General features: G+C 40.8%; 1 protein-coding gene across 171 annotated transcripts in view, besides 2 other annotated features; it reads right to left on the reverse strand.

Annotated features, from left to right (window-relative positions):
* PBRM1 (polybromo 1) overlaps nt 1–22131 on the reverse strand; it is a 140547-nt gene that overhangs the window by 102834 nt on the left and 15582 nt on the right. For 143 of the 171 annotated variants that reach the window (NR_175959.1, NR_174502.1, NM_001405585.1 and 140 more), the window contains 5 exons: nt 20298–20445; nt 13933–14076; nt 9999–10115; nt 3542–3610; nt 144–242 (listed from right to left, as the gene is read on the reverse strand). Coding sequence is in view for 165 of the 171 variants with exons in the window: in NM_001405585.1 (NP_001392514.1) it covers nt 144–242; nt 3542–3610; nt 9999–10115; nt 13933–14076; nt 20298–20445 (577 nt within the window). In the remaining 6 variants the exon portion in view is untranslated. Of the gene's footprint in view, nt 1–143; nt 243–3541; nt 3611–9998; nt 10143–13932; nt 14077–20297; nt 20446–22131 lie in introns of all 171 variants that reach the window. The other 28 variants (NM_001405586.1, NM_001405569.1, NM_001405580.1 and 25 more) reach the window with 6 other exon arrangements.
* Nucleotides 17707–18208: an enhancer, noted in NCBI's record as "H3K27ac hESC enhancer chr3:52699923-52700424 (GRCh37/hg19 assembly coordinates)". NCBI's record gives its function as "activates a minimal SCP1, AML or CMV promoter by ChIP-STARR-seq in naive H9 embryonic stem cells {active_cell/tissue: H9 hESC(naive)}" and the evidence as "EXISTENCE:reporter gene assay evidence [ECO:0000049][PMID:30033119]".
* Nucleotides 18209–18708: an enhancer, noted in NCBI's record as "H3K27ac hESC enhancer chr3:52700425-52700924 (GRCh37/hg19 assembly coordinates)". NCBI's record gives its function as "activates a minimal SCP1, AML or CMV promoter by ChIP-STARR-seq in naive H9 embryonic stem cells {active_cell/tissue: H9 hESC(naive)}" and the evidence as "EXISTENCE:reporter gene assay evidence [ECO:0000049][PMID:30033119]".

Genomic DNA, 22131 nt, shown 5'->3' on the forward strand with positions numbered 1-22131 from the left:
CCAGCCTAAATTAAACACTTTTAATGGGTAAAGTCCATGGTATGTGAATTATATCTCAATAAAGTTGTTTTATAAAAATTACTGACCTTAAATTATCTACTATTACCAAGGAAAACAACAACAACAACAACAACAAAACTAACCTTGAATACTTGAGAGCCAGGCTCATTATAAGTTTTGGCATTTTTTGCGAGGAGATCTATATCTTTGGCCATTGCATGAATACTTTTGTAGCTTCCATTCTACAATAAACAACAAAATATAGCAGTTCCTTTTAATGAGAGTTCATCAGTACAACCTTTAAAAAAAGAACCCCACATATTTCTAAATTGTCACCATATTCCAAGACTTTATTGGAAAGTACACATATGAACAACATGTAAAGTCATTTTCTTTTTTATAAATTATTACTGTACCCATTTATAAGTAAGTTTTTGAGATAGGTAACAAAACCAGAGCTGCATTATTCTCATAAAAATAAATTACAATTTTTAAAAAGTCAAATAAGGTAGAAGTTTTATTTTACAAACACATAGTGCTTACTATGTGCCAAGCACAGTTCTAAGTGCTTCATGAATACTAATTCTTTAAAGTGGATTTAATAGTGTGAAGCAAAACTCCCCCTAGTTACATGAACCACTTGGGGTAAAATATGAAATCAGTCCAGCACAGAGGCTAACATTTTCTGAGTACCTACTGTGTGCTAGAGCTGTCATATCTTAAGGCTCACTCAATCCAAAACAACCCAGGAATACTCATATAGTTGCCTAAATTTACGAAGGAAATGAAAGACGGACACACTTTTAGGTAAGAGGCACACATGACTAATGGTAAGTACATGGAAATGAAAAAGACATGGTCTAGAGAGAGTAAGGAAACCAAACTGAGCGAAATGGAAGGTGGAGAAGGGTAGAGCCATAAGCACAGAGAGGGTAAAAACAAAAGAGGCAGAATCCAGAGAGCCAGGCAAAGGAGTGTAGCTATTTGCCTCGTGGGACTACCAACAACTACGCATCCTTCTTACACGGAGGGAATCAGCACAGGCATCGGGAGGGCTCTACCTCCCATAATGAGGATGTAAGTGGGCAAATGGTCACTTTGCCAGCAGCCTGGCAGCCAGGGCAAGGGGAAATAACCACAGGTCAGCTAATTCATGCTTGGGTCTAAAGGGATTAATGCAATGGCCAGGAATTCATTCCTGACTCCTGTAGAGGAGGAGAGTCTAGCAGTAGAGCAGCAAGTATCCAGGGACCACAGTGGCAAATTACAGTGGTAACAGCAATGGCACCACAAAGAGGCTGTGCATGATCTCAGCTGTGCCATGATGTTCCTGAGTTCTGCCTAGTATCCAAAGGCTAGTTCCTCAACCTTTCTTCTCAACATTTCTATGAGCTATCCAATATGCTTTTCAAAAATTCCTTTTCCACTTAAATTAGTCAGAGTTGGTTTTATTCAACTGGTACAAGGAGTTGTGACATGCTTTAGCAGGCATTGGAAAACAAGTGAATTAAGTCTCTGAGCACGGGACTGGCAGGAAGAAAGCCAAGGTCAGGAGCCAAGACACAGAAAGGACTAGAAAGTTTTTCATCAGAGAGGTAAAATAGATTATTCCAGTAATTTGGACATAAGAGGACAAGGACCTTGAATCGGGTGATGGCAAAAGGTGACTCTGAGACTTTTGGAAAGAAGAAAGGACAAAATAAGGCGAGAAGTCAAAAAGAGAAGACTGGGGCTGAGATAGAGATGATTAAAGATCTGATTCAATTTCCAGGATTATGAAAACATAATCCTCCTACACAGATGTTAGAAATTCCAGGGATTTAGGAGACTTGAGTCATTCTCAGTAACAGTTATTGGGCTGATTTAAAAACCTGATGAGGCCTGGCAGGGTGGCTCACACCTATAATCTCTATGCACTTTGGGAGGCCAAGGCGGGTGGATCACTTGAAGTCAGGAGTTCGAGATCAGCCTGGCCAACATGGTGAAACCCTGTCTCTATTAAAAATACAAAAATCAGCCAGGTTTGGTGGCAGGCGCCTATAATCCCAGCTACTCGGGAGGCTGAGGCAGGAGAATGACTTGAGTCCAAGAGGTGGAGGTTTGCAGTGAGGTGAGATCATGCCACTGCACTCCAGCCTGGGTGACAGGGCAAGACTGTCTCAAAAAAAAAAAAAAAAAAAACCCTAAAAAAAAAAAAAGATGATACATTAGGGAATCTGTATTTTATCATTCTGTGAAAATTTATCTGTGGTACTAGTAAGTAAACACTGTTACTCTTTACTACTCTCTTAGAGTTTAAAGTCAAAGAAGTTTCTCCTTCCTGGCAAACCACAGTGGCTATCAGTCTCATTTCTCAATGAAACTATGTAACACACTGTTTTCCTTTTTGCCTTACCTCCTGGGAGCAGCAAACCCTTCTTATCCTGGGAAGATCAGTAACTCACATTTATGAGGACCTCATGCTGTAGGTTCTATGTGAGATGCTTTATCTATATTATCACCAACCTCTATGACTCTGCAAAGTAGTGATACTACACGCAACATACAGCAGAGGAAGCAGGCAAATCACCTGACCAAAGTGACATAGCTGATTAAGTAGTAGAGCTAGAAAAACAACCATATCAGTTCTACTCTAAATACTCAATTTCTGGTACAATTTAGCTCTTTTTCCCTATACTTTCCCTTACTTCTAATAATCAAATTTTAAATCCTAGTCACTCAGTCACACAATTAATATTTATTAAGCACCTACTCTGTACAGAAACAGTAAGTGTAAGGGTTGAGAACACAGACTACAGCTAGACTGTCTGGATTCAAATCCTAGTTCTCCTTCCTAGGCGGTGATTTGGGCAAGTTACTTAACACTTCTGTGCTTCAGTTTTCTAACTTGTAAAATGGGAATAATAACAATACTACTCTGTGGAGTTTTAAGAATTAATTAGCTAATACACATAAAGCACTTAAAACAGTGCTAGGTACATAGCAAGTCTATGTGAGTGTTTAGTTGCCACTATTTACTGCCAGGGATACAGTGAAGGGGTAGGGTAGAGAGGGCCAAAGAGAAAAAAGTAGTATCTAATTCCACTGACCTTCCACTCTAACATCCGTTGTGGGTAGCTTTTATTCTAACGTATCCTAAAGCTATTTGGAAGCAGATAAAAATAAACAACAGGTTACCCCATCTACCCTGATGTGATTATTATGCACTGTATGCCAGTATCAAAATTTCATGTACCCCATAAATACATACACCTGCTATGCACCCACAAAAATAAAAAATTTAAAAATTAAAAATGAAATAAATCTTTTGTCACAAATGTATCTTTTATAATCAGAAATGTCGGTAACCAATGTGTTTTAATTTTTGTCCTAAGATGCAATCCAAAGCTACAATCAGTAACACTATTTTAATTTATTTACATGATTTGCTAATAACCCCTTACAGAGACAACTAGCTTCTCTGTTTTCTAAAAGCTTCTAGGAAAGATCATAGGCCAATCTGCTCTAAACCACAATCATTTACTTATGGTCATCTTCATACCTGTATCCTCTGGGCAATGGTCTTGAGATCTATAGGCTCCTTAATTATTGCATAATAATCTGGATATTGCTGGAAGACAAAAAACCAGGCATGCTCAATAAGTTAAACTATTCAGCTAATGAAAAGAGAAGGAAGTACATTGACAATCTGTTGTTCAAACAACCAGTGAAGCAGCTTTGTGAGATTCAAGACTAAAGACATGGCTGTACAGCACATTTATTATATCAGAACCATAAAGAATTTAATCTTAAGAAGCTTCATGATCTATCCAACAGCATGACTTAGGAGTTAAAACTTGGTATTTTGAGTGTTATTATGCAACTAGCATAAAATTTAATGTTTTAAAAAATTCTAGGCTGGGGCCGGGTGCGGTAGCTCACGCCTGCAATCCCAGCACTTTGGGAGGCCGAGGCAGGTGGATCACCTGAGGTCAGGAGTTCAAGACCAGCCTGGCCAACATGGTGAAACCCCATCTCTACTAAAAATACAAAAATTAGCCGGGCGTGGTGGCAGGCACCTGTAATCCCAGCTACTCAGGAGGCTGAGGCAAGAGGATCGCTTGAACCTGGGAGGCAGAGATTGCAGTGAGCTGAGATCGTGCCATTATACTCCAGCCTGGGGGACAAGAAAGAGACTTCGTCTCAAAAAAAAAAAAAAAAATTCTAGGCAGGGCACGGTGGCTCACACCTGTAATCCCAGAACTTTGGGAGGCCGAGGCGGGTGGTTCACGAGGTCAGGAGATTGAGACCATCCTGGCTAACGTGGTGAAACCCTGTCTCTACTAAAAATAGAAAAAAAATTGGCTGGGCATGGTGGCATACAACTATAGTCCCAGCTACTCTGGAGGCTGAGGGAGGAGAATCGCTTGAACCCAAGAGGCAGAGGTTGCAGCGAGCCGAGATCATGCCACTGCACTCCAGCCTGGGCGGCACAGCAAGACTCCATCTCAAAAAAAAAATAAATAATCTAAATTCGGCAAGGCGCGGTGGCTCACACCTGTAATCCCAGCACTTCGGGATGCTGAGGCAGCTGGATCACTTGAGGTCAGAAGTTCAAGACCAACCTGGCCAACATAGCGAAACCCTGTCTCCATTAAAAATACAAAAATTAGCCAGGCATGGTGGTGTGCGCCTGTAATCCCAGCTACTCAGGAGGCTAAGGCAGGGCAATCACTTGAGCGCAGGAGATGGAGGTTGCAGTGAGCCGAGATCACGCCATTGTACTCCAGCCTGTGCAACAGAGCAAGATTCCGTCTCAAAAAACAAACAAAAATTCTAAATTCACAGAATTATACAATTTTTCATTTAAGGTCCCAAGATATCTATGCCTAGAAATAAAGTAGAAGAAATGCTCTTTAGGAGTTTGTTACAAGCTCTTTTAATTTTGCAATCTAAATAACGTTATTATATAATATTCACATAAACTTTCATAAGGATCTGTAAGAAGTCAGGTTGCAAAATTTGTTAGCTTCATGTTTAACTTGATGCTTCTGCTTATTTCAGTCAAAGTAAGTTTTTTCAAAACAAAATACCTTTTGAATGAAACTTTGTTAAAGAAATGAAGCACGGCTGGGCATGGTGGCTCGCGCCTGTAATCCCAGCACTTTGGGAGGCTGAGGTGGGTGGATCACCTGAAGTCAGGAGTTCGAGACTAGCCTGGCCAACATGGTGAAACCCCATCTCTACTAAAAATTCAAAATTAGCCTGGTATGTTGGTGCATGCATGTAATCCCAGCTACTTGGGAGGCTGAGGCAGGAGAATCGCTTGAACCTGGGAGGTGGAGGTTGCAGTGAGCTGAGATTGCTCCATTGCACTCCAGCCTGGGCAAGAAGAGCAGAATTCTGTCTCAAAAAAAAAAAAAAGAAAGAAAGAAATGAAGCAAAATTCTGGTCAGGCATGGTGGCTCATGCCTGTAATCCCTGCACTTCGGGAGGCCGAGACGGGCAGATCACGAGGTCAGGAGTTCAAGACCAGCCTGGCCAATATGGTGAAACCCCGTCTCTACTAAAAATACAAAAATTAGCTGGGTGTGGTGGCGGGTGCCTGTAATTCCAGCTACTCAGGAGGCTGAGGCAGGAGAATCGCTTGAACCTGGGAGGCAGAGGTTGCAGTGGGCTGAGATCACGCCACTGCACTCCAGCCTGGGTGACAGAGCAAGACTGTCTTGAAAAAAGAAAAGAAATGAAGCAAAATTATTAGCAACTTCTGATTTATCAAATACTAGGTCATCCCAAGAAATTGAACATGTTGAGGAATGTCCTTGAAGCTTTCACAACAACCTAGAATCACTCACTGCACTCAGGCTTTCCTACAGATTTTCTTCCTTGGAGGAAATAACTGAAGTTGCCCAAATATCAAAAGTTGGTCTTATCAGATGGGAGAGGTTCAGGGGAAGTCAGATTGTGCTCTCCCAACTCTTCCCACCTGTTCAAACCCTACTGAAGCCCACGCAGCAACAACAAAAGCAGAAAGCCACAGCCTTCACTCAGTTACTGGGCTGAACAGATTATCTCAGTGTTGTTTTATCTCATCTGTCCCCTAAGCTTACCACTACTTTCTTAACCCTACTCCTTCCTTTACTTGGATGAATCTCCATTGCTGCCCCTTCTCTTCACCAGTTCTACTTCTGAGAGAAAGTTCAGAGGACAAATTATGGCAAGGCCACCCAGCATGGAGTACAAAGTAATTCAAAGTCATCCAATCCCACAAATTCCCAATCTATCTCTCCCATGCAGCCAGCTTGCTTGGGACGGACTTACTAAGGAAAGGTGAAAACTGTCCTGCCCCTTCAGCTGTCAATCCTTGTTGTCTTTCAAACTGTCACACCCTGAGAGACCAATAGAAACCTGCTTTTCCCAACCAGCTCCTTCAAGGTGACCTTGAAGGGGGAATGGGGGGAACTAATTATTGATGTTTCATTGCCCCATATCACTGTTGTTGATTTGACCATCACTGATTATCTCCTGCAGGGTAAGAATAAATCTTGAGCGAAGACAGTACTTCTATTTTGTGTGTATGTGTGCATGTGTGAATGAGAGTTGACAGAGAGCGAGAGAGAGAAAAAGAGACGGGGTCTCTTTCTGTTGCCTAGGTTGGAGTGAAGTGGCATGATCACAGCTCACTGCGGCCTTGAACTCCTAGGCTCAAGTGATCCTCCAAACTCAGCCCCACCAAACAGCTGTGACTACAGGTGCACACCACCATGACTAGCTAATTAAAAAAATTTTTTTTGTAGAGACAGAGTCTCAGCTATGTTGGCCTCTCAAAGCTCTGGGATTACAGGTGTGGGTCACTACACCTATCCTGTACTTCTTTTATAATTTTTTTTACTGTAATAAAATAAATTTCATGTAGTAACATGAAATTTGCCATTTTTAAGTGTACAGTTCTGTGGCATGAGGTACACTCACACTGCTGTGCAACTATCACTGACATCCACCTCCAGAACTTTTTAATCTTGCAAAATGGAAACTCTGTACATATTAAACAACTCCCCATTCCCTCCAGCCCCTGGCAACCACCATTCTAACTTTATGTCTCTAAGATTTTGAGTATTCTAGGTACCTCATATAAGAAATCATACAGTATTTGTCCTTTTGTGACTGGCTCATTTTGCTTAAAATAATGTCTTTAGAGTTCATCCATGTAGGATGTTTCAGAATTTCCTTCCTTTTTAACGCCAAATAATATGCCACTGTATGTATATGTCACATATACATTCATTCACTGATGGACACCTGAGTTGCTTCCATTTTTAGCTATTGTGAATAATGCTGCTATGAATATGGGTATACAAATATCTCTTCAATACCCTGCTTTCACTTTCTTTGGAGTATATATCTAAAGTGGAACTGCTGGATCATATGGTAATTCCATGTTTAATTCTCTAGAGAATCATCATACTGTTTTCTCCTTTTCTTAAAGTTTTAAGTCATATGACCAATATTAATAATTACATCTTTCTAGTAAGATTCACACATAGGACAGCAGTGGTCAGTTGCTTTATTTCTAATGTTGTAACTATCCTATAGCTAGTCAAGACACACCTTTAAATAACTATAGTCTTGCCAATGACTGATGAGGAAAGCTGCATGCTACTCATCAGTCAACAAGCATCTTGCATATCTATGACCACCCAGCATGGGGTACAAAGTAATCCAAAGTCATCCAATCCTTCGGATCGGGTTCCAGTTATAGACAGTAATACAAAGGTAAATTACAGCACAGTCACTGTCCTCAAGAAATTCAGGGAGTAGAAAAGAAGGCAGACAGAAAAGTAAATGATCACAATAGGGCTAAGTGCTACCATGGAGTACTTCTGAAAGTATATCCTTACCTAGAAATATGAGAATGCTGAGGCCATGAAAATGTTTGCAGTTTCATAGGCTAATGTGAGTCAAATCTATATGTTAATTATCTTTTGGGTGTAAAGGCATAAAGAATTCTGATACTTTTTAAAGGTCTTGCTTGTCTAGAAAACCTCTTCTTTTTTCAGGCAGAAGAGTACCTAATTCGTTTTTCTTTTTTCAGCATCACCAGGAGATCAAAGAGAATTAAAAGGAGGAAGAACTCATTTATCTTCCTCTTACCCTGTCCCCTACACAAAGAGAAAGTTTCCACTCTTAAAAATGCAAGGTTTAGGCCGGGTGTAGTAGCTCATGTCTGTAATCCCAGCACTCTGGGAGGCTGAGGCAGGTGCATCACTTGAGGTCAGGAGTTTAAGATCAGCCTGGCCAACATGGTGAAAGCTTGTCTCTACTAAAAAATACAAAAATTAGCCAGGTGTGGTGGTGCATGCCTGTAATCCCAGCTACTTGGGAGGCTGAGGCAGGACAATCGCTTGAACTCGGGAGGCGGAGGTTGCAGTGAGCCAAGATCACGCCATTGCACTTCAGCCTGGGTGACAGAACGAGACTCCGTCTCAACAATTAATAAATAAATAAAAAAGATTTAGTTAAAGTGCTTATTTTATCAATGAAGAATTACCAATCTTGGAAACAACCCAATGTCCATTGACAGATGAATGAGTAAACAAAATGTAGTAAGGCACGGTGGCACAAGCCTGTATACCCAGCTACTTGGGAGGCTGAGGTGGGAGAATCGCTTGAGCCCAGAAGTTTGAGGTCAGCCTAGGCAACACAGCAAGACTCTATCTCTAAACAAAACAAAACACCCCAAAAAACTTATAAACAAAAGGTATTATATAGAAATAACAAAATGCTATTCGGTTCTAAAAAGGAATGAAATTCTGATTCAGGCTACAATATAGATGAATCCTGAACATATGCTAAGTGAAATAAGCAGTCACAGGACAAATATTGAATGATTCTTCTTCTATGACGTACCTAGAATAGTCAAATTCATAGACAGAAAGCAGAATGGTGGCTGCCAGAAGCTGGGAGAAGAGGGGAGTGGACTTGGTGTTTAATGGGTATGGAGTTTTGGTTTTGTAAGACTAAAAAGTTCCAGATAGTGGTGATGGTTGCATAAAAATGTGAATGTACTTAATGCCACAGAACTGTACACTTAAAAATGGCTAAAATGATAAATTTTATGATACATATCCTTTACCACAATAAGAAACAAATAAAAATAATTACCAATCAAAAAACAAAAAACGTAAAAATAAAAAAATAAAATCATAACCTTCTGATCATGTAAAATGATAGACCGTATACATTTTGTGCTGCTGTGAGGAGGATCTCTTGGGGGCCTCCAACATCTTCCTTTTATTTATTTATTTTTTGAGATGGACTCTTGCTCTGTCACCCAGGCTGGAGTGCAACGGCATGATGTCAGCTCACTGTAACTTCCACCTCCCAGGTTCAAGCAATTCTCCTGCCTCAGCCTCCCGAGTAGGTGGGATTACAGGCACACACCATCACACCAGGGTAGATTTTATACTTTTACTAGGGATGGGTTTTCACCACATTGGCCAGGCTGGTCTCAAACTCCTGACCTCAGGTGATCTGCCTGTCTTGGCCTCCCAAAGTGCTGGGATTACAGGCGTGAGCCACTGCGCCTGGCCCAACATCTTCCTTTTCTTTTTTTTTTTTTAAATTTGAGACGGAGTTTCGCTCTTGTTGCCCAGGCTGGAGTGCAATGGCGCAATCTTGGCTCACCCACTGCAACCTCTGCCTCCAGGGTTCAAGCAATTCTCCTACCTCACCCTCCCGAGTAGCTGGGATTATAGGCATGCGCCACCACACCCAGCTAATTTTTTGTATTTTTAGTAGAGATGGGGTTTCTCCATGTTGATCGGGATGGTCTCGAACTCCCAACCTCAGATGATCCACCTGCCTCGGCCTCCCAAAGTGCTGGGATTACAGGCATGAGCCACCACACCCGGCCCAACATCTTCCTTTTGAACTTACTTTATTTATCAGTAATTAATACAATTCTTGAAGTACTAAAAACAAAACACTGACATGTACCTGTTTTTAACTGCATCACTTACCACTTTAGAAGGCAGTTTCTGAAAAAGTTCGCTAATGAGACGTCCTGATGGATTTGTAGCTACAACTATGGCTTCAAGAAGCTGCTCCAGGATCTCCTTCAAGTAAGCTGGAGAAGACTGGTAATGTGGAGAAAAAAGTACTTTCTAAGAGAAATAATAAAATGCTGAATATTACATAGCTTCTAAAATTGTAGAGCTAATTCAAAACAGCAACTTTTTTTTTTTTTTTTGAGATGGAGAGGCTGGAGTACAGTGGCACAATTTCAGCTCACTGCAACCTCCACCTCCTGGGTTTAAGTAATTCTCCTGCCTCAGCCTCCCGAGTAGCTGGGATTATAGGCATGCGCCACCAGGCCCAGCTAAATTTTATTTTTTTAGTAGAGACGGGGTTTCACTATGTTGGCCAGGCTGGTCTCGAACTCCTCACCTCATGTCTGCCCACTTCGGCCTCTCAAAGTGCTGGGATTACAGGCATGAGCCACTGTGCCTGGCCAAAGAAAGCAACTTCTAAGCAGTACTTATTTTAACTCCAAATTTCAAGAATACCCCATAATGTTCTGATGCTGGACATAGGCATTGTATCCCTAGAACAACCTATATGAACCTAATGAGGTGCCTTATATTATTTTTGCAATGAAATCCCTTGTACTAGGTCCTTCTACTGAACCTTTTTCTACAGTAAATATTGCAATGGCAAAGTTTAAGTGCTACAAATGTGAAATGAGCAACTGAGCAGGAGAAAGCATGTCCCATAATAGTTCATTTCTATATCTGCTGTTCACATCTATTGAAGTCTTACAGGACAATGACTACTTACAGGACAATGACTACTTACATAGAGTTGGGACTACATACTTTTAACCACGGGGTGCTCTACCAAGTCTAACTGAATTCAAATTAAGTCAAAACTAAACAGCGATTAAGTACATCAATGTACACCATTTCTGTTCTTTAGACCCACTGGTTTATACCTAGCTTAGTCACTGTTTCAACATAGGAAGTATATGCCCCAAAGAGTACTTGACCAGGGAGGGTCCAAGTCTGAAGCAAGTTTCTAGAATAAGCAATGGAATGTCTCAGTCAAGGATTAAATTATGCTTCTAGTCCAAATCATTTTTTGTACATATAAAATAAAGAGTAATTTTTTTTCTGGTTTAAATCATAAAAGTACTGGTATTGTGTCCTAATCCAACAGAAGCTCTTTTTATTTAGTATAGTCTCAATTTTAAGGTGCAACACTTTTTTTTCCTCCCCACTCTGTTGCCCAGGTTGGAGTGAAGTGGTGTGACCATGGCTCACTGCAGCCTCTAACTCCAGGGCTCAAGCAATCCTCCCACATCAGTTTTTCAAGTAGCTGGGACCACAGATGTGTACCACCATGCTTGGCTAATTTTTTTACTTTTTGTAGACATGGGCGTCTCACTACATTGCCCAGGCTGGTCTCAAACACTTGGGCTCAAGTGATCCTCCAGTCTCAGCTTCCTAAAGTGTTGGGATTGCAGGCGTGAGCCACCGCACCAGACCCAAGAAAATCATCCTTGATTTAAAAATTAGAAACCTGAAAATTTCTTCTCCCTCCATGAGAATCATTGAGTTATAAAGAGTCTTGGGGTCTGGCATGGTGGCTCATGCCTGTAATCCCAAGCACTTTGGGAAGGTGAAGTGGGAGGATCACCTGAGGTCAAGAGTTCGAGACCAGTCTGGCCAACATGGTGAAACCTCACTTATACTAAAAATACAAAAATTAGCTGGTGTGGTGACAGGCATCTGCAATCGCAGCTACTCAGGAGGCTGAGGCAGAAGAATCGTTTGAACCCAAGAGGTGGAGGTTGCAGTGAGCTGTGATCGTGCCATTGCACTCCAGCCTGGGCCAAAGAGCAAGACACTGTCTCAAAAAAACAAAATTTGAAAGAGGCTTGGGAGGTATAAATGTGAATGTACAAGACCCTCCCAATTTCTCATCAATTATGCGTTACAGAAGTACGGGCAAGTCCTAAATACAGGCATTTTAATCTTTTGACTAGAGCCCTGAAGGCCTACACTAAGGGTGGGGCCTCTGCAAGCAGTGTTCTACCGAAGAAAGCATGGGCTGCTTCTCCTGTATTCATATTAGAGAGTAAAATTCCAGGAAATTCCTATTTTTAGCCTTCTATTTAGTTCCAATCACTTAACTACTTAAAGAAACTGACAAGCTGCTGAGGAACTATATACATATATTTACATATCATATATAAAATATAAAATTTTATACATATAAAATATATGAACTACATGTATATGTGTGTATATATATTTTGTGTATATCTATCTATCTATCTATCTATATTTTTTTTAGACAGAGTCTCATTCTAAGACCCAGGCTAGAGTACAGTGGCATGATCTCAGCTCATTGCAACCTCTGCCTCCCGGGTTCAAGCGATTCTCCTGCCTCAGCCTCCCGAGTAGCAGGGATTACAGGTGCCCACCACCATGCCCAGCTAATTTTTGTATTTTTAGTAGAAATGGGGTTTCACCATGTTGGCCAGGCTGGTCTCAAACTCCTGACCTCAGGTGATCTGCCTGCCTTGGCCTCCCAAAGTGCTGGGATTACAGGGGTGAGCCACAGCACCTGACTAGGAACTGTATTTTGAGACTCTAAGAAGTAATTGTATTTTTGAGAAATTCACCCATCACTGCTTCTCTGTATTCCAGCAAAAGGCCTATGTAGATAAGTTACAGAAGAAAGGGGAATATTCTGCAATGTGCTTCTCACAATTTAGCTGTAGAAAAGAGTTGTGATCCCCTCTACTATTCTTTTTTCTCTTTTCAAACATGTCTTTTTATTTTCTGTCTTTCATTTTTTTTTGAGATGGAGTCTCATTCTGTCGCCCAGTCTGGAGTACAGTGGCGCCATCTCGGCTCACTGCACCCTCCACCTCCTGGGTTCAAGCGATTATCCTGCCTCAGCCTCCAGAGTAGCTGGGATTACAGGCATGTGCCACCTGCCTAGCTAATTTTTGTATTTTTGGTAGAGACAGGGTTTTACCATGTTGGTCAGGCTGTTCTTGAACTCCTAACCTCAAGTGATCCTCCCGCCTTGGCCTCCCAAAGTGCTGGGATTACAGGTGTGAGCCACCTCGCCTGGCCATGAAGCATGTGTCTTTATTTAGTAAATATTTATCAGCACCTACATGTCAGGTATAGTGCAGATATGAGGAATAAATGAACAAAAAGATACCTGCTTAGGAGCTATCATTCTACTTGGGGAAAGAGAGAAAAACATGTAAACTAGTATGTTATTTCACATATAGTGACATTATAAAAACTGAAGACAACCCTGTGATGACAGGGTGGGGTAGGGGCTGAAAAGGAGGAAGGCGGAGCAAACAATGGAGATAGGGTGGTCAGGAAAGTCCTGTCTCAGTAGACACCATTTTAGATGGTGTTAGAACAATAAAAAAGAGCCAGTCACGGGAAAAGTCAAAGGAAGCACTTTCTATGCAGAAGAACAACTGCAAAATTCCAGAGGCAGAAACACACCTGGGAGGTTCTAGGAACAGTAACTATTCTAACCTACAGAAATATTCCTCACTAAGGTGATTACATTCCAACTTCTAATCACAACACTGCCTTTCCTTACATGATGTCTCAATGTAGCAATACTGGACTAATCCTTGATAATATCAAGATTCTCTTTAAAACTGAGCAGGAAATATGCATTAATGTAAGTACAATTCATGAAAATTACCACACATGGCACACGTTGTCCAGGATATCCTAGGATCCCTTAAAAATGGAGTGGGGCTCTCTGGCTGAATGTCCTTTTATCCTCCCAGTTACCAATACAATTGCACAGGAATTCTAGTTGCCCACAACAGCCCAGAGGGAATCACAAGCAGGGGCCCTCTCTGCCTTCCAAGAGCCCATCCATCACAAGTTCCAGCTACACACTTACTCCTTCAGTCACTGTGCCCTGATTGTCTTGCCCATCTTCATCATCATCTTCGTCATCTGCTTCTCCTTTCTGAACAAACTCATTTCTTGTTCGAAGGTACAAATCCCAGAGTTTGCAAGCGGCTTTATATTCAGGAGAATCTGGCTGTATGTTAGCAAAGAGAAAAAAAAAAACACTTTAGTAATGTATTGGAAATTAGTTGCTACTTTTAAAGCACCTGTTTCAGCAAAGACCAAAAATTGTTACAAATTTTAACATCCTCATGATTAAAACATATATGGGTCCAAATCCCGCTTCCAAAAAATTAAGTGTATGTTTTAAAGACATTCTGAAATCAAATTATTTAGGTCTTATCTCATTAAAGAAAGACTTGAGGCAGAAGACAAATGATTTGCTAAATTAAAAGTAATTATGACCGGGCACAGTGGCTCATGCCTGTAATCCCAGCACTTTGGGAGGCCAAGGCAGGTGGATCATGAGGTCAAGAGATCGAGACCATCCTGGCCAACATGGTGAAACCCCGTCTCTACTAAAAATACAAAAATTAGCTGGGCGTGGTGGTACGCACCTGTGGTCCCAGCTACTTGGGAGGCTGAGGCAGGAGAATCACTTGAACCAGAGAGGCAGAGGTTGCAGTGAGCCGAGATTGCGCCACTGCACTCCAGCCTGGTGACAGAGCAAGACTCTGTCTTAAAAAAAAAAAAAAAAACACCAAAAAACCCAAAAAAACTAATTATTACTAATACACTAAGAAAGACAACTTAAAGGATAAGATTTGATTTAAAGGATAGAAGCTAATGACGGTTCTGATGTTATTAATACTTGTGGTTTGAAATTCTTTAATACCTTGTTTCAAAATGTCTGCTCATGAAGTATAGTGGGCATAATAAACTCTTGACTGAAATCTTCTAGTAAAAACAACGTTGGATGCAATGTTCAAAAAATAAAATAAAACTTTAAAAATGCATACATGGGATGCCAATAGGAAGTAAGGATGTTCACAAAATTAAAGGAATAAAAGTAGGAAACCAGATGAAAACCCACAACACTTAAGTCAAATGTTCACTTTGAGGGCATTTATTTATGATAAAACCAAGCTTTCATTTCCAAGGCTTCTCTGGGCAGCGAGGAGGGAAGACAAAGGTCAGGGTCTACCAGAAGCTGGGAATCCAAAGGCCATGGCTGCACCATTAGTGGGAACTCAAATCAGTTTCTGTACTGCCAGGGAGCAAGGACGACTGCCCATCTCAACCTCTACCTATCTAAATTCATGCCTATCTCAAACCATGGCACTGAGAGGAGAGGAGAGGCATGAAATGAATCTCTGAGAACTCTTCATCGTAAAGTTAGCCTTAACAAAGACAGGCCAGTCATCCTGGACAAGAAACAAATCATTTCTGGATGAAACCAACTTCAATTTAATGCTCCAATGATCTCTACAGATAAAGTTCCAAGAAATATTGAGTCCATAGTAAAAAAATCATGAGGCACATAAGAATCAAAGAATCACGAGAAAGCTAGCAAAAATGACAGTGACAACAAATATATGTATTAGATATTGGAATTCAAATAATTAGATTATCAGAATAATCTACCATAGAATAAAAAACAGGTGTGTTAAAAATGTTTAAAAGTTGGGCATGGTGGCCAGGCGTGGTGGCTCACGCCTGTAATCCCACCACTTTGGGAGGCTGAAGCAGGGGGATCATGGGGTCAGAAGATTAAGACCATCCTGGCTAACACAGTGAAACCTCATCTCTACTGAAAATACAAAAAAATTAGCTGGGTGTGGTGGTGGGTGCCTGTAGTCCCAGCTACTTGGGAGGCTGAGGCAGGAGAATGGCGTGAACCGGGGAGGCGGAGCTTGCAGTAAGCCGAGATAGCGCCACTGAACTCCAGCCTGGGTGACAAAGCCAGACTCCGTCTCAAAAAAAAAAAAAAAAGTTGGGCACGGTGGCGCACACCTGTAGTCCTAGCTACTTAGGTGGCTGAGGCAGGAGGATAACTTAAGCCCAGGAGTTTAAGGCTGCAGTGAGCTACAACTGTGCCTGTGAATAGCCAGTGCACTCCAGCCTGGGTGACAGAGCAAGACTTTCTCTCTTTAAAAAAATAAATAAATAAATAAAAAGTTTAAAGAAACAATGAGTTTGAAAACAATGAGCAAAGTCCTACAGACTCTAAAAAAGACGCTACTTCCTATATGTAGAAAAATTAAAATGCAAATACTAAATTTATATTTAACTAATTTAAGAGATTTCACCAAGAAAATTGAAAGAACTGAAAAAAAAAAAAAAAAAAGATTATCTAAAAAGCAACACAGACGCTGGGCGCGGTGGCTCACGCCTGTAATCCCAGCACTTTGGGAGGCTGAGGCGAGTGGATCACCTGAGGTCGGGAGTTCAAGTCCAGCCTGGCCAACGTGGTGAAACCCTGTCTCTACTAAAATACAAAAATTAGCCGGGCATGGTGGCAGGCGCCTGTAATCCCAGCTACTCAGGGGCTGAGGCAGGAGAATCGCTTCAACCCAGGAGGCAGAGGAAGCAGTGAGCCAAGATCACACCACTGCACTCCAGCCTGGGCATCAGAGCCAGACTCTATCACAAAAAAAAAAAGAAAAAAAAAGGAAACACAGACACAAAAGCAGGAAATATGAAAAGTTAAGAGAAATGGAGACCTGTGGGAAGTCTAATATGACACCCAATCAGAGTTACTACAAGAACAGGGCAAAGGCAAAATGCAAAGACATGGCTAAAAACTTTCCAAAGATGATGAGAAACACCAATCTAAGATTTATGAAGCATTACTACTCGCAAATTCTATAAAGATATCCACATCTAAATATATCACAATGAAACTACAAAATACAAAAGAGAAAAGGATACTAAAGACAGCCAGAAAAGAAAAGACAGATAACCTTTAAAGGAACTACAATCATACTGGCGGATGACTTCTCAATAGCAAAATGGAATGAAGAATAAAGAAAGTAGTAATAATGAATGGTACTGACTCCACAAATCAATATTATTATTATTATTGTTTTTAAAGACAGGATCTCACTGTTGCCCAGGCTGAAGTGCAGTGGCATGATCATAGCACATTACGGCCTTGAACTCTTGGGCTCAAATGATCCTTCCACCTCAGCCCCTCAAGTAGCTGGGACTACTGGTGCACGTCACCATGCTCAGCCAATTAAAACAATTTTTTTTTTTTTTGTAGAGGTGGGGTCTTAGTACACTGCCTAGGCTGGTTTCACACTCTTGGCTTCAAGCAATCCTCCTGCCTCAACCTCCCAAAGCGCTGGGATTATAGGCATGAGCCATCATGCCTGGCTGAATAGTATTTTATGGCAGGGGTCCCCAACCCCCAGCCCACGAACAACTACCAGTCCATGGCCTGTTTGGAACTGGGCCGCACAGCAGGAGGTGAGCAGCAGGCAAGACAGCATTATCGCCTGAGCTCCTCCTGTCACATCAGCAGTGGCATTAGATTCTCATAGGAGTGTGAACCCTATTGTGAACTGAGCATGCAAGAGATCTAGGCTGTGAGCTCCTTATAAGAATCTAATGCCTGATGACATGAGAAGGAAGAGTTTCATCCTGACCCTGCCCCCTACATCCACTGCTGTCCATGGAAGAATTGTCTTCCGCAAAACTGGTCCCTGGTGCCAAAAAGCTTGGGGACCACTGTTCTATCAGATTCAAAAATTGCCACAAAAGAACTAAAGTACACAGCACCAGCATTATAAATAAGGAAAAGAGTGATCAGAGTTGAATTATTCTAAAGTCTTCGTATTGTTTGGAGGATTAAGATCCTGATTAGCTTCTGGCTTTGAATAAGTTAATTATGCATATTAAAACTTCTTAGATAAGAACTAAAAGATTATCTATAGATGTTACAATTTCCAAATTTTAGAGGTAATAAGAGGAAAAAAGTTTTGAAAAAAATGAAATCAAAAGAAGGCATAGAGAAAAAAATAACAAAATGCACTGAAGAGTAAAATAAACTGAGCAAGGTGGTGTGTACCTGCAGTCCTAGCTACCTGGTAGGCTGAGGTGGGATGACTGCTTAAGTCCAGGAGTTTGATTCTGGCCTCGGCAACTTAATGAGACCTCATCTCTTAAAAATAAGGCCAGGCATGGTGGCTCACGCCTGTAATCCTAGCACTTTTGGGAGGCCGAGGCAGGCAGATCACCTGAGGTCAGGAGTTCAGGACCAGCCTGGCCAACATGGCAAAACCACGTAAAAATACAAAAATTAGCCAGGCATGATGGTGGGTGCCTATAATCCCAGCTACTCGGGAGGCTGAGGCAGGAGAATGGCGTGAACCTGGAAGGCAGAGCTTGCAGTGAGCCGAGATCGCGCCACTGCACTCCAGCCTGGGCAACAGAGCGAGACTCCATCTCAAAAAAAAAAAAGAAATGGCAAAGGGTCAAGTATAATTAACCTACTTTCTAACCAGAAAAAGAAGTATAAAGCAAGCTGGGCATGGTGGTTCATGCCTGTAATCCCAGCACTTGGGAGACCGAGGCGGGTCAATCGCTTGAGCCCAGGAGTTCAAGACTAGCCTGGGCAACACGGTGAAATCCCGTCTCTATCAAAAATACAAAAAATTAGCCATGTGTGATGGTGCGCACCTGTAGTCCCAGCTAATCAGGAGGCTAAGGTGGGAAGATTGCTTGAGCCCAGGAGACAAGGGCTGTAGTGAGCCAAGATCACACCACTGCACTCCAGCCTGGGCAACAAAGGAGATCGTGTCTCAAAAAAAAAAAAAAAAAATTATAAAGCCAAAGTAATTAAGATAGAAATAGAACGGCCTAGTAACAGATAAACTGGCCTGTGGAACAGAATAAAAGGACAGAAACAGATCCATGAATACATGGAAATGATGACAGCAACGATTGCGAACAAACGCAGAGAGAATAGTGTTGGTTATACCTGTGGGAAAAAAATTGATTCCTACCTTATAAAAGACAAAAATCAATCCCAGCTGCATTTATTCCTACCTTATAAAAGACAAAAATCAATCCTAGCTGCATTAAAGGCTTATATGAAAGACAAAACTATAAAACTTTAAGAAAAGCATACTAATAGAAGAATATCTTGGGCAAGAGGAATCTCTGAAACAAGATACAAATAAACCCAATTTAAAGATTGATAAATTTGATTAAACTAAAATAAAACATTTCTGTTCATCAAAAAATACCATGAAAGGTGAAAAGATATGCACACAGTGGGAGAAGATATTTGAAACACACAAAATCAAATAAAAAAAATAAAAAAACTGAAACACATATAATCAAAAAAGGTTTACTATCCACAATAATTAAAAAATTTCTATGGCCAGGCATGGTCGCTCACGCCTGTTGTCCCAGCACTTTGGGAGGCCAAGGTGGGTGGATCACTTGAGGTCAGGAGTTCAAGACTAGCCTGGCCAACATGGTGAAACCCCATCTCCACTAAAAATACAAAAATTAGCCAGGCATGGTGGTGGGCACCTGTAATCCCAGCTACTCAGGAGGCTGAAGCAGGAGAATCACTTGAACCTGGGAAGAAGAGGTTGCAGTGAGCTGAGATCGTGCCACTGCACTCTAGCCTGGGCAATAGACTTTGCCTCAAAAAAAAAAAAAAAAAAAAAAAATTTCTAAAGCCAGGAGTGGTGGCTCATGTCTGTAGTCCCAGCTACTCATGAGGCTGAGGCAGGAGGATCACTTGAGGCCAGGAGTTTGAGACCAGCCTGAGTAACATAGGGAGACTCTGTCTCTAAAAAAAAAAAGAAAAAAAAATTCCAGAAATATGAAAATGACTAACAAACCAAGAGAAAAATGGGCAAAAGATTTGAGCAGACAGAGAAATAAGAATAGTTCATAATCACATGAATGTGGGTTGGGCACAGTGGCTCACGCCCATAATCCCTGCACTTTGGGAGGCCAAGGCAGGCAGATTGCTTGAGCCCAGGAGTTCAAGACCAGCCTGGGCAACATGGTGAAACCCTGGTCTCTACAAAACATGCAAAAATTAGCTGGGCATGGTGGCACGTGCCTATAGTGCCAGCTACTCAGAAGGGTGAGGTGGGAGGATTGCTTGAACCTGGGAGGCGGAGGCTGCCATGAGCCAAGATCTCACCACTGCACTCCAGCCCGTGTAACAGAGCAAGACCCTGTCTCAAAAGATAATAAATTAAAATACGTAAATAAATAAGAAATAAAAATCATATGAATGTCCAGTCTCTTTACGAATAAGACAAATGCGAACTCAAGCCACAAAAAGAAACTACTACTCACCTGCCAGGTTTATAAATATTAAGAAGCCAATTATCAAATTGGTATCTTCCAATTGGTATCTTTCCAAATTTCATAATTTCTTACCTTATAATAGGACTTTGCATTGTTAAAAAGAAGCTGGAAGTCAGCAGTCAGCAAATTAACATCATCATACTCTTCCATTTTTAGTTTCTGTTGGATTTTCATCAAGTCAATGGGCTGAGAAACCACTTCATAATAGTCTGGTTGATTTCTGTTATAATTTAAATTTTTTTAAAGGAGATTAATCTGAAGCTTACAAAAAGTTTTATTTCAAAACTATTTATGGTAATGTTCAACATTCCAAGTGACAGAGCATATTAGAATCTTTCATGGACTTTGAAGCTTACTTAAAAAAAAAAAAAAAAGAAAAAAATCTGCAAAAAAAGAAAAAGAAAAGCAAGATGCACACTCATTCCCTTTTCAAAACATACGTTAATGATATAAAAACCTAAATTAACACCTGTGATGGTCTTTTATATGCTAACTGTTTAATGTTTAGGGCACCAACGCTAAACCCATGTCAATGGTATCCTTTATAAATGAAGATGACTTACCTTTCATAGTGCTCAAAAGTGTGAAAACAGAGATATGTCTCAATACTCTTTATAAACTTACAAAACAGATTCTTTCTTCAGTAAGTGACCACATAAATTTTTTCTGCCAAGTACTATCAAATGCCTATCATAAATGCTGCTACAATAGCAATTACTAAAATTACAAGGGAGGAAGATGAGCCCTTGGCTTACGTAGCTTAACAAAGATGAATGGACATCAGATACATCTAAACACAACCAAACTCTTCGGAAAAAAAAAACCATGGGACTAAGAAATACAAAATTTGGCTTAGTGGTTATACCTTGCAGGAGAGGGGTAGTGAGGAACACACAAGAAACTTTGTAGGTAATTATAATGACAAAATTTCTTAAAATAATTAAGTAATTTCCTTCTTTAATTCCTTAAGTAATTTTAATGACAATTTCTTAAGTTCCCAAAATAACTTCTTGGGTTTAGGGTTCATGGATGTTTAGTATTTTTTCTGGCTTTCTTCAAATGAAGTTCCAGGAGACAAGTAAACCTACTGAAAAACGATGTGACTATTTTCTCAATTCTCCCACAGGGGTAGGTATTCAGCCCCATTCTAGATGTGTAAGAGATAAGTTATTACAAATAACATCATGGCGATTAAGGCTTAAATCTCTCTTGGAACCTTAGCTGACAGGTTATAGCCATTCTTTTATTACGTATAATATATTTAAATTATTTTTAAATTTGTATTCTGACATAAAAGTTGCAAAAATAGTACTTTTTTTCTGAACCATTTGAATAAGCTCTGACATGATGCCCCATCACGCCTGATAATTTAGTGTTTGTTTCTCACAAATAAGGACCACAACTCAACCATCAAAACCAGGAAGTGAATGTTAATACAGTACAGTTGACCACTGAACTGTGCAGGTCCACTTATATGGGAACTCTTTTCAACCAAAAAAATCAGAATATTGAGAAATCAGAGAAAAAGCAGAAAGAATACTGATGTTGTCAGTGGTATCAAGGAACCTTCTCACAGCACACATTAGGGCTCTGATAACTTAATATCCAAGATGGTCCTCTCCATCTGGGCCTACAGGACCCACAGTCCAGTGCTCCTTGCTGAGGCAGGACCCCAGCAGTGTCTCAAGCTAAGGGGACTATCTGTAGACAATTGAGAATTCAATGAGAACATGTGCCTAGAAAGGACACTATCCCCCAGAATCACTGCTACAAGGTTCCTCACAAACATTTTTAGAATTACCACAAAGACAAAAGAAAAATCAGGATCCCAACCTCTCACTCTATGTCATATGGTCAAAACAGGGTCCCCCCATTTCAAAATGAAATACTTCTAATTTCTAACAGT

Source organism: Homo sapiens, chromosome 3 (genome assembly GCF_000001405.40).
Source record: "Homo sapiens chromosome 3, GRCh38.p14 Primary Assembly".
NCBI classification, from domain to species: domain Eukaryota; kingdom Metazoa; phylum Chordata; class Mammalia; order Primates; family Hominidae; genus Homo; species Homo sapiens.